We start from the raw sequence: 14,323 nt of genomic DNA, 5'->3' as shown, positions 1-14,323 counted from the left end.
TGATTCCACTAATATGAGGTATCTAAAGGAGTCAAATTTATAGAAACAGGAAGTATAATAATACTTGCCAGGGACAGCGGAAAGTAGAAAAGACGAGTTGTTTAAAAGGTACAGAGTTTCAGTTTTGCAAAATGAAGACGTTCTAGAGATCTGTTTCACAATAAAGCAAGTACTTATACATGACACTACTGAGTGGAACACTTAAAATGGCTAAGGTGGTAAATTTCATGTTATATGTTCCTTAACACAAATATTTTTAAAAGTTTATAACCATTTGAAAACACTGGTGATGAAAATTAAAAAACAAAAATAAAAACAAAGCAAGCAACTAGATCCAACTACTTTCCTTCCCCAGTGAGAAAGGAAGTGTTGCTATAGACAGTCAATGCATGTCACTGTCTTGACTTCAGTGGACAAATACCTGCTCTGCTAAAAAAGAAAGATCACTGGGTTAACATCCCTATGTTTGGCTGCTGTCCTACCTTGTCAGCCTCCACACCAGACTTCTCAAGAGCAGATCTCAATTCTGAAGCCTCTGCGTGCTGATGCACACTCACATCTTTATGTTATGGCATAGCCTCTGGCTCAATTTTACCTTGAAATAGTTCTTTGGAAGTCTTTTTCTTGGCATTGGTCCTTCTCAACCTCTCTGCTGATTTTAAGCTTAATGGCCTTCTCTACTGGTTAGGATTCTATATATGTTTCTACCTTTCTGACCACTGAATCTGCCTCCTTTACCTCCCTAAAACTAGGTATTACTATGGTCCTGCCTGCCTTCAGCCTCCTTTTGATTCTCCACTTGTTCTGTCTTAACTATCTAATGTATATTACTGTCCACAGTTATCTTTATTACCCTAATATTGTTGCTCCCAGATCCAACCTCTCCCCCCAAACCCCAATGTTTGAATTTCTAGCTGTCTGTTAGTCTCCATATGAATATGATCTAATCATCATGGCTCTTTTAAACAAGACAGAGCCACCCATACACCATGAAACCAGTACCACATACAAGCAGTCCTCTAAAACCTTCAGATTAATTACTACCTTGGGCCACTTACCTTGGCCTGTTTTGAGCTCTGTGGTCTGACTTTTCATCATTGTGCATTTTTCCACTGATGCTATGCTTCACTCTTTGGCCTGATACTTTGATAAAGATTCTCTAATGTCTGTTGATATTCCTCTCAACATAAATCAAGTTCTTCCTCTGGCCAAGCTGTCTTTGGCTACTGTTAAACATCTTGCCCAATCTGAGAACCTTTAAATTGATACTGCACTTCACTGCTGGCTCTCCCTCAAGCAAACAAGATGAGGATATACCTACGTTTCAAACCGTTTCAGTGACCTCCTCCAGACACCTGCTGGACCTCCCGTGTTCCCTTTGTATCCTAATGGCTTCACTCTGATTCCAAGGATGAATGAAGTCTTAGTCACAGTCATTTTTGCCTCCCTCCCTCTATTATGTGATTAAAAACATAAAATTTACCACCGTAACCATTTTTAAGTGTAAAGTTTAACAGTGTTAAGTATATCCACACTGGGCCAGGCATGGCGGCTCATGCCTGTAATCCCAGCACTTTGGGAGGCCGAGGCAGGTGGAACACCTGAGGTCAAAAGTTCGATACCAGCCTGGCCAACATGATGAAACCCCGTCTCTACTAAAAATACAAAAATTAGCCAGGAATGGTGGCGGGAACCTGTAATCCCAGCTACTTGGGAGGCTGAGGCAGGAGAATTGCTTGAACCCAGGAGGCAGAGGTTGCAGTGAGCCTAGATTGCACCACTGCACTCTAGCCTAGGGAACAAGAACGAAACTCCATCTCAAAAAAAGTAGTATATTCACACTGTTATGAAAAAGATCTAACATTTTCATCTTGCAAATATGAAATTCATTAAGTAACTACCCTTTCCCTCATCATCCCACTCTTTTTTAACCCCTAATGTGAATTATTTCATAAACCCTGTTAATTCTTTCTCAGTAATGCCATAAAAATCATAAGATTTAATGGTATAAGAGATCTGAAAGGTCACCTGACACAGCTTCTATAATATGTATTCGTAACCTCAAAAATTTTCACAATAAATGGTTATCTGGCTGTAGTTTACACACATCAACAGATGGCAAGACAGTCATATCATCCTTGAACACTGATAAGGTTTGGCTCTGTGTCCCCATCCAAATCTCATCTTGTAACTCCCATAATTCCCATGTGTTGTGGGAGGGACCTGGTGGGAGATGATTGAATTATGTGGGCAGGTCTTTCTCATGCTGTTCTCATGATAGTGAATGAGTCTCACGAGATCTGACGGTTTTAAAAATGGGAGTTTCCTTGCACAAGCTCTGTTTGCCTGCTGCCATCCATGTAGGATGTGACTTGCTTCTCCTTACATTCCACCATGATTGTGAGGCCTCCCCAGCCATGTGGAACTGTTAAGTCCAATAAACCTTTCTTTTGTAAATTGCCGAGTCTCAGATATGTCTTTATCAGCAGTGTGAAAATGAACCAGTACAGTAAATTGGTACCAGTAAAGTGGGGTGCTGCAGAAAAGATACCCAGAAATGCGGAAGCGACTTTGGAACTGAGTAACAGGCAGAGGTTGGAACAGTTTGGAGAGCTCAGAAGAAGATGACAGAAAAATGTGAGAAAGTTTAGAAGTCCCTAGAGATTTGTTGAATGGCTTTGACAAAAATGCTGATAATGATATGGACAATGAAATCCACGCCGAGATGGTGTCATATGGAGATGAGAAACTTGTTGGGAAATGAAGCAAAGGTGACTCTTGTTATGTTTTAGCAAAGAGACTGGCGGCATTTTGTCCCTGCCCTAGAGAACTGTGGAACTTTGAACTTGAGAGAGATGATTTAGGGTATCTAGTGGAAGAAATTTCTAAGCAAAGCATTCAAGAGGTGACTTGGGTACTGTTAAAGGCATTCAGTTTCGAAAGGGAAACAGAGCATAAAAGTTTGGAAAATTTGCAGCCTGACAATACAATAGAAAAGAAAATCCCATTTTCTCAGGCAAAATTCAAGACAGCTGCAGAAATTTGCATAAGTTACAAGGAACTGACTGTTAATCACCAAGACAATGGGGAAAATGTCTCCAGGGCATGTCAGAGACCTTTGCAGCAGCCCCTTCCATCACAGGCCCAGAGGCCTAGGAGGAAAAAGTGGTTTCATAGGCTGAGCCCAGGGTCCCTGTGCTGTGTGCAGCCTAAGGACACGGTGCCCTGTGTCCCAGCCACTCCAGCCGTGGCTGAAAGGGGCCAACATAGAGCTCAGGCCGTGGCCTCCAAGGGTGCAAGCCTCAAGCCTTGGCAGCTTCCACGTGGTGTTGAGCCTGTGAGTACACAGAAGTCAAGAATTGAGGTTTGGTAACCTCCACCTCGATTTCAGATGTATGAAAATGCCTGTATGCCCAGGCAGAAGTTTGCTGCAGGGGCGGGGTCCTCATGGGGAACCTCTGCTAGGGCAGTGCAGAAGAGAAATGTGGGGTCAGAGTCCCCACACAGAATCCCTACTGGGGTACTGCCTAGTGGAGCTGTGAGAAGAGGGCCACCATCCTCCAGAACCCAGAATGGTATCACTGATAGCCTGCACCATGTGCCTGGAAAAGCCATAGACACTCAACACCAGCCCCTGAAGGCAGCCAGGAGGTAGGAGCTGCCCAAGACTGTGGGAACCTACATCTTGCATCAGTGTCACCTGGATGTGAGACATGCAGTCAAAGGAGATCATTCTGGAGCTTTAAGATTTGACTGCCCCACTGGATTTCAGACTTGCATGGGGCCAGTAGCCCCTTTGTTTTGGCCAATTTCTCCCATTTGGAATGGCTGTATTTACCCAATGCTTGTATCCCCATTGTATCTAAGAAGTAACTAACTTGCCTTTGATTTTACAGGCTCATAGGCGAAAGGGACTTGACTTGTCTGGGATGAGACTTTGGACTGTGCACCTCTGAGTTAATGCTGAAATAAGTTAAGACTTTGGGGGACTGTTGGGAAGGCATAATTGGTTTTGAAATGTGAGGATATGAGATTTGGGAGGGGCCAGAGGTGGAATGATATAGTTTGGTTCTGTGTCTCCACAAAATCTCATCTTGCAGCTCCCATAATTCCCATGTGTTGTGGGAGGGACCCAGTGGAAGACAACTGAATTATGGGGATGGGTCTTTCCCATGCTGTTCTCGTGATAGTGAATAGGTATCATGAGATCTGATGGTTTTAAAAATGGGAGCTTCCTTGTACAAGCTCTCTTTGCCTGCTGCCATCCACATAAGATATGACTTGCTCCTCCTTGCCTTTCACCATGATTGTGAGGTCTCCCCAGCCATGTGGAACTGTTAAGTCCAATAAACCTCTTTCTTTTGTAAATTGCCCAGTCTCGGATATGTCTTTATCAGCAGCATGGAAATGGACTAATACAAACACTTACTATTAGAAGTTCTTCTGTACGTTGCTCTAAAATCTTTTTCACTCTTATTTTGCAACACTGATAATTCTGCCACCACAATAAACTGAACAAGATTAATCTGTCTCTTATGAAATTCCTCAAAATCTTACAGAGAGCATTATATTTTCCCAAATTATCCTTCAATGGTCTGTACAGTCCTATGTCCTTCAACCACTGCTTGCACAACATGATTTGGGGTCTTCATCATCACCCTGACTATAAATTCAGGGCTCTAGTGCATCAGTCTTTCTCAAAACACTGAACCGAAAAATAAACTCAATTTCACAGCTATGGTCTGATCTGGACAGAACAGAACAGGATAATCACCTTACACCTTTCTGGACACGAATACATAATTGGTTCCCACTGAATATACCATCAACTAAAAGCCTAACATCTTTGCATCAGTTTGGTTAATATAAGCCTAACACAACACAGCCAAAGTGAAAAATTCTTCCGTTTCAGTGAATGAATTCTTTTTCATCCTACTGTATCTCAGTAAGGTACAGTAAAAATCAACAGTTACTGCACACTTGCTGTAAATATGCACACACTAAAATGTACCTACAAAGAATTTACCTAAAATGTAATGCTCAAAGGCAGGTCATCTCAGAGTTTAATCTGTTTCCTCTACTTATACTCAGAGTTAGTTCCCATATCTATGATCTTGCTTCATTCACCTCCCCTCTGTGTTCATTGCCCTAGTTCTAACGCTATTACCAACCTCAATTATTGCTTCCAAACCTATCACCCACATACTGACAGGTCATTTTGTTTATGGATCATAGCTTGTGACATTAGTAATTTACCTTCAGTAGTTCACCACTGGCCACTGAATAAAGCCCAACATAGTTATACTGACATTTAATCATCAGTTGCTTATCTCTAAACAAATACCATAACTGCAATAGGGCACAATTCCAAGTAGTAAAGACTATGCCATCAATATGCTATATACGTTAAACACATAAACTACACACACATAATATATAATATACATATGAATCCTTCCATATATGTATGTGGAATATACATTCCATTCCTTCTATAATGAACATATATGCTCATTACTCTCTAAAGCAATTGAACTTTTCTGTTTCCCTCTAGGAAATAAAATAAGCTAATCATGAAATGAAAGACAGTCCCTAGAATTTGCCATACCAGGTCAAGAGAGAGCATCAGGGCTGGGCACGGTGGCTCACGCCTGTAATCCTAGCACTTTGGGAGGCTGAGGCGGGTGGATCACGAGGTCAGGAGATCGAGACCATCCTGGCTAACACAGTGAACCCCTATCTCTACTAAAAATACAAAAAATTAGCCAGGCGAGGTGGCAGGCACCTGTAGTCCCAGCTACTAGGGAGGCTGAGGCAGGAGAATGGCGTGAACCCGGGAGGCAGTGCTCACAGTGAGCCGAGATCGCACCACTGCACTCCAGCCTGGGTGACAGAGCGAGACTCCATCTCAATAAAAAATGAAAAAAAAAAAAAGAGAGAGAGAGAGAGCATCAGGTTAGGACCCTCATCCCAAATAAGTGTAATAAAATCAACAATATAAGTCTCAAGTGTTATTTGTTCTGTTTTGTATCCTGTAATAAGGTACAAAGTACCCTTTGTATTTGATTTCTAAACACCAAGCACCTTTTTGAACAAAATTAAAATGCCATGATGGGTCTCCACAATTCCTCTATACTCAATGCAAAGTCCCATTTGAATAGTGAGGGCAAAAGTATGAATAACAATAGTCTCTGAGATCCACAAGCAGCTCATCCCTAACAGACAAAGTGTTTTTGGGAAAACAGAAATATCTCTGGTCTTCATTTTCCTAATTAATAAAATGAAAGTGTTAGACTAGATAACTGCTAAGATTTCCTATAACATTAATACTCTGTGATTCTTTGACTTTCAACACTATTAATCTTTAGGAGAAAAAAACCATGTATGTCTCCAGAAGTTCTATTAACATAAGGCAGTTTTAATGAAACCTGAAAACAGTTAACTCATGTAAGCTAGAAAAAATTCCTGTCAACAAGGCATAGCAGAGACTGCATGTAGTTTACTAAGGAATAAAGAGGACCATAATGAATGCATGAATATACAAATAATTAACTCTTTTAAGAAGCATCATTTGAGTTGGCATGACTTCAGCTAAAAAGTGCTGTGTATCAAGTGCTTTCACAGTTCTCCAAAGGAAGAATCTTCTGTATCAGTAAATTAACACTGCAATAGACCCTTGAATAATCAGCATCTATTCTTTGGCATGCATATCCCATGGCTAAGGCTAGCAATACGATTATTAAAACCACTCACTCAACACAATTTCTTTCAAGAGGGTGGCATTCAAATCATGAGCTTATTCTAACCGATGTTTATTCCAAGCAGTGATTCCTAGCCTAAATTACAGAAAGGTGGGCAAATGATTGAAGAAATTTTCTGTAGAAGAAACTGTTATAAAAACTGGTCTTACAGAGAATAATGCATATTCCAAATATACTTAATTAGGGTGTGAGTTTATTGTTACTGGACTATAAAGTTAGATTATAAGCAAGGGTTAAATTGTACTGAGCCTATTATCTATCACCCACAACAGTGTGGGCAATGCCAGGCACATAAAGAGGATAGCTTTGAAATGACTGACTACTGGGTCTAGGCTGAACGGCCAAGAGTTGGCTGGAAGAACAAGGGCCAAAGAGCACAGATTTATGAAGAAATACAAGAGAATGAGAAGGCACACATCTAGTCCGAACCAAGGTAGGGACCCCAGAGTTCTAAATACCAGAAAGGTCCAACAGACCCTGGAACTGCAGTCTAAGGTGATGAATGGGTTTGTGGGGGGAAGATGATAGTCACAGGGAGCTATGAAGGAGTCTCACGTGAGCCAACAGTATAGATTCTGAAGGCGTTTATGGCAGGAGAAACAAAATACGCAGGGAAAGATAATCTCAGTGTTAAAGACAGATGTATGCCTGGAGGCCAAGACAGAAAATGAGCTGCAGAGAGAACGCAGTAGCCTGCTAGCCAGCCAGTAAAGAAGTGAGGCTAGTTCAGCGGACTCGCGCGGCCTCGCTCTTTGGACTCGTCACCCTCCCCTCCCCCTCCCGCCGCCGTCACCCAGGAAACCGGCCGCAAACGCGGGCGGACCTGAAGCTGGTTTCATGGCAGCCTCAAAGAAGGCAGTTTTGGGGCCATTGGTGGGGGCAGTGGACCAAGGCACCAGTTCCACGCGCTTTTTGGTTTTCAATTCAAGAACAGCTGAACTACTTAGTCATCATCAAGTGGAAATAAAACAAGAGTTCCCAAGAGAAGGATGGGTGGAACAGGACCCTAAGGAAATTCTACATTCTGTCTATGAGTGTATAGAGAAAACATGTGAGAAACTTGGACAGCTCAATATTGGTATTTCCAACATAAAAGCTATTGGTGTCAGCAACCAGAGGGAAACCACCGTAGTCTGGGACAAGATAACTGGAGAGCCTCTCTACAATGCTGTGGTGTGGCTTGATCTAAGAACACAGTCTACCGTTGAGAGTCTTAGTAAAAGAATTCCAGGAAATAATAACTTTGTCAAGTCCAAGACAGGCCTTCCACTTAGCACTTACTTCAGTGCAGTGAAACTTCGCTGGCTCCTCGACAATGTGAGAAAAGTTCAAAAGGCCGTTGAAGAAAAACGAGCTCTTTTTGGGACTATTGATTCATGGCTTATTTGGAGTTTGACAGGAGGCGTCAATGGAGGTGTCCACTGTACAGATGTAACAAATGCAAGTAGGACTATGCTTTTCAACATTCATTCTTTGGAATGGGATAAACAACTCTGTGAATTTTTTGGAATTCCAATGGAAATTCTTCCACATGTTCGGAGTTCTTCTGAGATCTATGGCCTAATGAAAGCGGGGGCCTTGGAAGGTGTGCCAATATCTGGGTGTTTAGGGGACCAGTCTGCTGCACTGGTGGGACAAATGTGCTTCCAGATTGGACAAGCCAAAAATACGTATGGAACAGGATGTTTCTTACTATGTAATACAGGCCATAAGTGTGTATTTTCTGATCATGGCCTTCTCACCACAGTGGCTTACAAACTTGGCAGAGACAAACCGGTATATTACGCTTTGGAAGGTTCTGTAGCTATAGCTGGTGCTGTTATTCGCTGGCTAAGAGACAATCTTGGAATTATAAAGACCTCAGAAGAAATTGAAAAACTTGCTAAAGAAGTAGGTACTTCTTATGGCTGCTACTTCGTCCCAGCATTTTCGGGGTTATATGCACCTTATTGGGAGCCCAGCGCAAGAGGGATAATCTGTGGACTCACTCAATTCACGAATAAATGCCATATTGCTTTTGCTGCATTAGAAGCTGTTTGTTTCCAAACTCGAGAGATTTTGGATGCCATGAATCGAGACTGTGGAATTCCACTCAGTCATTTGCAGGTTGATGGAGGAATGACCAGCAACAAAATTCTTATGCAGCTACAAGCAGACATTCTGTATATTCCAGTAGTGAAGCCCTTGATGCCCGAAACCACTGCACTGGGTGCTGCCATGGCGGCAGGGGCTGCAGAAGGAGTCGACGTATGGAGTCTTGAACCTGAGGATTTGTCCGCCGTCACGATGGAGCGGTTTGAACCTCAGATTAATGCTGAGGAAAGTGAAATTCGTTATTCTACATGGAAGAAAGCTGTGATGAAGTCAATGGGTTGGGTTACAACTCAATCTCCAGAAGGTGGTGACCCTAGTGTCTTCTGTAGTCTGCCCTTGGGCTTTTTTATAGTGAGTAGCATGGCAATGTTAATCGGAGCAAGGTACATCTCAGGTATTCCATAAAACCTACCAACTCATGGATTCCCAAGATGCGAGCTTTTTACATAATGAAAGAACAACCCAGCAATTGTCTCTTAATGCGATGACACTATTCATAGACTTTGATTTTATTTATAAGCCACTTGCTGCGTGACCCTCCAAGTAGACCTGTGGCTTAAAATAAAGAAAATGCAGCAAAAAGAATGCTATAGAAATATTTGGTGTGTGTGTGTGTGTGTGTGTGTGTGTGTGTGTGTGTTTTTAACATCCACAGTTAAGGTTGGGCCAGCTACCTTTGGGGCTGACCCCCTCCATTGCCATAACATCCTGCTCCATTCCCTCTAAGATGTACGAAGAATTCAGATCCTCACCATTGGAATCTTCCATCAAACATACTCAAACACTACTGGAACAGGACTTGAGTCTTTGCATGACATATACTTGATTAAAAGGTTATTACTAACCTGTTAAAAATGAGCAGCTCTTCGCTTTTAACAGATACCCCAAAAGTCTTCTTTTCTACATAGTAGAAGACGGAAACACCTTTACTGAATGTTTGAATAGAAATATCTACTAAATTATTAAAATAGACATTTAGTGTTCTCATAGCTTGGATATTTTTCTGAAAAGTATTTGCCAAAACTGAAATCCTTCCAATATTTTCCATGGTCCCATTAATTATAATGACTTTCTGTCTAGATCTTATAGGAAAGGATACTTTCTTTTTTCTTCCATCTTTCCTTTTTATATTTTTTACTTTGTATGTATAACATATATGCCTATATATTTTATACACTGAGGGTAGCCCATTTATAAATTAAGAGCACATTATATTCAGAAGGTTCTAACAGGGCTGGTCTTAAGTGAACCACTATGTATATCAATATGTTGGAAAACAGCTGTATACATTTTTGGGCAATGGTTATGCATAATATCTACCAGAATTTTTTTCTTAAACAGCCAACATTTAAAATTTATGTTTTATGTCCATAAAAGAAAATATACTTTATTGTGACTTCAACTATATTTCTTATCCCTTACATTTTTATTTAATTGTCTTAGCCTAAAAAAAGAAGAAACTGTGGAATACTACAGTAAATACTGTTTTCAAACACAAGCAATAATTCAAATAGTTTTCTTTTGAATTAATTTTAGACATATTTTGGATCCTATTGAGGGGATAAGAGGATGTCAAAAAAGTTAAATACCTAAGTAGAAAAAAATATAGAAATAAAGCCAGGAATCTCTTTCAGTTCAAATGTTATCAATTGTGAATAAGAAATTGCTATCTGGGATGACAAAATTATCTCTGCTTAGTATCTTATTATAACTGAAAAAAGGTTTATCATTATAAATGCCTTCCAAGGAAACCAAGAATTTCTCAAAATATTTAATGTCACATATTATAAGAAGTCACCTAATCTAGCTTCTTAACGTCAATCTTTAAAAATATCTTAAAATTACTTTGTTTTGTAATAAACAGTGAAAAAAAAAAAAGTTAGGCTGATGGCAGTGAGAGCAATGGTCTGGAAGTGGTACCCTTCTACCTAGGTTCCCAGTGGGCTGTGGGGAGTGATCCCTTCGAGAAGTCTGCTCACGACATACAGGTTTGGGGGAAACACAAAGTTTCATTTATGACAAAGACAGAGGGGACACACATGAAAATACTTGCGCATATAAAAAAGTTTGATCATTTTATAGGCCTAGTGGAAAGGACAGAAGCTGGACAGTGAGGGGTGCCTGAACAGGCCTGGGTAAAGTAGTTACTACCGCCGGGGCCTGGGATATATAAACTAATAACAGAGTTAAGAGCCAAAGAATGGAAAATAAAATGAAAGCATATCAGTAACTGGAGGACTTCTTTTTTGTTGTTGTTATTGTTGAGATGGAGTCTCTCTGTTGCCCAGGCTACAGTGCAGTGGTGTGATCTCAGCTCATTGCAACCTCTGCCTCCTGAGTTAATGTTATTCGCCTGCCTCAGCCTCCCAAATAGCTGGGACTACAAGCACATGCCACCATGCCTGGCTCTTTTTTTTTTTTGGTATTTTTAGTAGAGACCTGGTTTTACCATGTTGGCCAGGCTGGTCTCAAACTCCAGGCCTCAAGCAATCTGCCCATCTCAGCCTCCCAAAGTGCTGGGATTGCAGGTGTGGGCCACCATGCCCAGCTCTGAAGGAATTCTCCACAGGTAGTCCTGTTACTGAGGAATGCTGAGTGCTTACCAAGCCCAGAATTTCAGCTACAGCTCTAGCTTGAAAATGGTAGTCAGGCTGGGTGTGGTAGCTCATGCCTGTAATCCCGACTCTGGGAAGCCAAGGCAGGAGGACTGCTTAAGGCCAGGAGTTCGAGCACAGCCTGGGCAACACAGCAAGAGCCCGTCTCTATTTTAAAAAAGAAAAAGAAAATGATACCACAAACTTCCCCAAAGATCAGTTAGAACTAGTACTAAGTAGTTTCTCAAATTTTCAGTATGGGAAGTGGTGAGGTATAGGAATGACTAAAAATCTGAAACAATTTTTGTCCCCTTAAATGTGCTTGGCTATCAATAAGAAATACTGAATAAAATTCATATTTCAAGTTATAATTAAAATCCAATTTCCAAAGAGTCTTTTGCTAGAACTATTAAAATGCATCTAAACCAATGAGTTCAATTTTTATCTCCTCTATATTTTTGGCCTGCAAAAAATGCTAAAAATAAAGGTGCTAATGATTTGAGAAATGGTTAAAATATAGATACCACCCAACAAACATGAGAAGAGTCCACAAACCAGCACTCTCTGAATAAGTTAGTACACTTGGGGTTAACTGAGAAAAATTTCATTTTTAGACATGATACAAAAAATAATTTCATACAGCTTTTTAAGCTAAAATAAAATAAAATAAAATAAAATAAAATAAAATAAAATAAATCTTTCAGGAGTGTAACGAAGGCTGACCATAGTCCAGAACACCATGCCTCAGCACATAGGCCATTTAACCTGGGCGGTCTGGTCACACTGAGCTGTCACTCCACGCCTTGGAGAAGCAGGGTGGTCAGTGCGACAGGCTGTCACTGCCAGTGCCACGCTGCTGAAGCCACGAGAGCATCTCGGGGTGAGCAGCGTGGATTCCACATCCTCCCCTGCTCTCACTCTCTAACCTACCCATTTGGTTGCTCACATTTTTACTTTCCCTAAAGATACTGATGTTATTAAAAATAAGCAGGAGTTCATGGAAGAGATCTCCATGGAACACTGTTAATTTTTTCATTATACCTGTACAATTTAATTTAATTATAATGTATTCTAGAAAGCTTGTTTCCAATGGGCAAGAGAAAGAAATGAAGCAGTTCTTACGTCCAGAATCTCCAGTGAGTTTTCAAAGGATAGAGAGTGCTCTTCCATTTTTTTTTTTTTTTTTGAGACGTAGTCTCACTCTGTCACCCAGGCTGGAGTGCAGTGGAGAGATCTCTGCTCACTGCAAGCTCCGCCTCCCGGGTTCAGGCCATTCACCTGCCTCAGCCTCCCAAATAGCTGGGACTACAGGCTCCTGCAACCACGCCTGGCTAATTGTTTGTATTTTTAGTAGAGACAGGGTTTCACCATGTTAGCCAGGATGGTCTCGATCTCATGACCTCATGATCTGCCTGCCTCGGCCTCCCAAAGTGCTGGGATTACAGGCATGAGCCACTGCGCCCAGCCCGAGAGTGCTCTTCTTATGTGCAGTCACACCATGGACCAGACAATACCCCGAGGTCCTGCAGGCTTTCTCTCCTTATCCATCCTTTTTTCCCTCAGCTTCTTTCTCCTCCCTTCTGCTTTACATGTATATATGTATGTATGTATTGAGTCATCTATTGCTATTTATTTCTTCCCTTCCTTCTTTTCTTTCCTACCTAGAAAAGCCTGTCACAAGTCCTACTGCCTATGATAGGGAAAAGAAAAAGAAAAAGAAAAAGAAAAAGAAAAATATTAACTTTACTGCCACTGTGTCCTGTCACCCTCTTGGAGTTCTTCACAAGCTATGTGATTTGACTTGAAAGTAATTTGAAGGTTTGGGTAAATTTTCTGGACAAATAGAGTGCTTTAAAGACAAATCACCTAAACAACAATTATTTGTTTATGGTAGAAAAGGAGCTATAGACATCTTACTGCATGGACTCCTTATCTCCCCACTTCCTATTTGCTTAAAATGTCAAGAACAATCAGATAGTTTCACTATGAGGAACAATTGCGTATTAGTCTGTTTTCATGCTGCTGATAAAGACATATGCAAGACTAGGCAATTTACAAAAGGAAGAGGTTTAATGGACTTATAGTTCCACATGGCTGGGGAGGCCTTACAATGATGGTGGAAGGCAAGGAGGAGCAAGTCATGTCTTACACGGATGGCAGCAGGCAAAGAGAGAGAGCTTGTGCAGGGAAACTCCCATTTTTAAAACCATCAGATCTTGTGAGACTTACTATCACAAGAACAGCAAAGGAAAGACCTGCCCCCCATGATTCAACTACTTCCCACTGGGTCCTTCCCACCACACATGGGAATTCAAGATGAGATCTGGGTGGGGACATAGCCAAACCATATCAAACTGTTTTATAGTATTATTCTGGATTATTTTGGAAAGTTTATTACAACTAGTTATCAATACACCAAAGATATGGAAATAACTTCATTATACAAGCATGGTCTTTGTAATGGCATTTGTTTAAAATATAAGGATGAAATACATAGGTAAAGCATGACAATTGCTTCAAGATAATACAAGAGGATGTATAAAATTCCTCAAGCTGTAGACATGATTTGTGTACTTTTCTATACGTACATTAGACTTCAGTAAAATGTTTGCATATAAAAAAAAGGGAAGGGGAGTAACGAAGGTTATAATTAAAACAAAATTGTCCCTGAGTTGACAACTGTTGAAGTTGGATCATGAGTACTATTCTATTCTTGTACATGCTTGCAATTTTTCATAATGAAAGATGTTTTAAAATGTTACCTAAAACCTAAGAAACTCAAGCAAATACAAGATTCAGAAGCATGGTATAAAAGCAGTACATCCTTTAAAGCTAGATTCAGATGCAAAATATAGTGCATTAAAAATGAAGAAT

General features: G+C 40.7%; 2 protein-coding genes across 13 annotated transcripts in view, besides 1 other annotated feature; one reads left to right on the top strand and one right to left on the bottom strand.

Moving 5' to 3' along the window:
- The window catches only part of KLHL2 (kelch like family member 2), a 115,596-nt gene that overhangs the window by 35,913 nt on the left and 65,360 nt on the right, over positions 1–14,323 (bottom strand). The gene's annotated exons all lie outside the window — the stretch shown is intronic.
- Positions 6,656–7,157: an enhancer, noted in NCBI's record as "H3K4me1 hESC enhancer chr4:166201239-166201740 (GRCh37/hg19 assembly coordinates)". NCBI's record gives its function as "activates a minimal SCP1, AML or CMV promoter by ChIP-STARR-seq in primed H9 embryonic stem cells {active_cell/tissue: H9 hESC(primed)}" and the evidence as "EXISTENCE:reporter gene assay evidence [ECO:0000049][PMID:30033119]".
- GK3 (glycerol kinase 3) lies at positions 7,540–9,437 on the top strand. The gene has a single exon (NM_001395953.1). The coding sequence runs from the start codon at positions 7,599–7,601 to the stop codon at positions 9,258–9,260; it is 1,662 nt and encodes a 553-aa protein (NP_001382882.1). The 5' UTR covers positions 7,540–7,598; the 3' UTR covers positions 9,261–9,437.

This window comes from Homo sapiens, chromosome 4 (assembly GCF_000001405.40).
Source record: "Homo sapiens chromosome 4, GRCh38.p14 Primary Assembly".
Classification (NCBI taxonomy): domain Eukaryota; kingdom Metazoa; phylum Chordata; class Mammalia; order Primates; family Hominidae; genus Homo; species Homo sapiens.
This window is presented reverse-complemented; position numbering and strand designations above follow the sequence as displayed.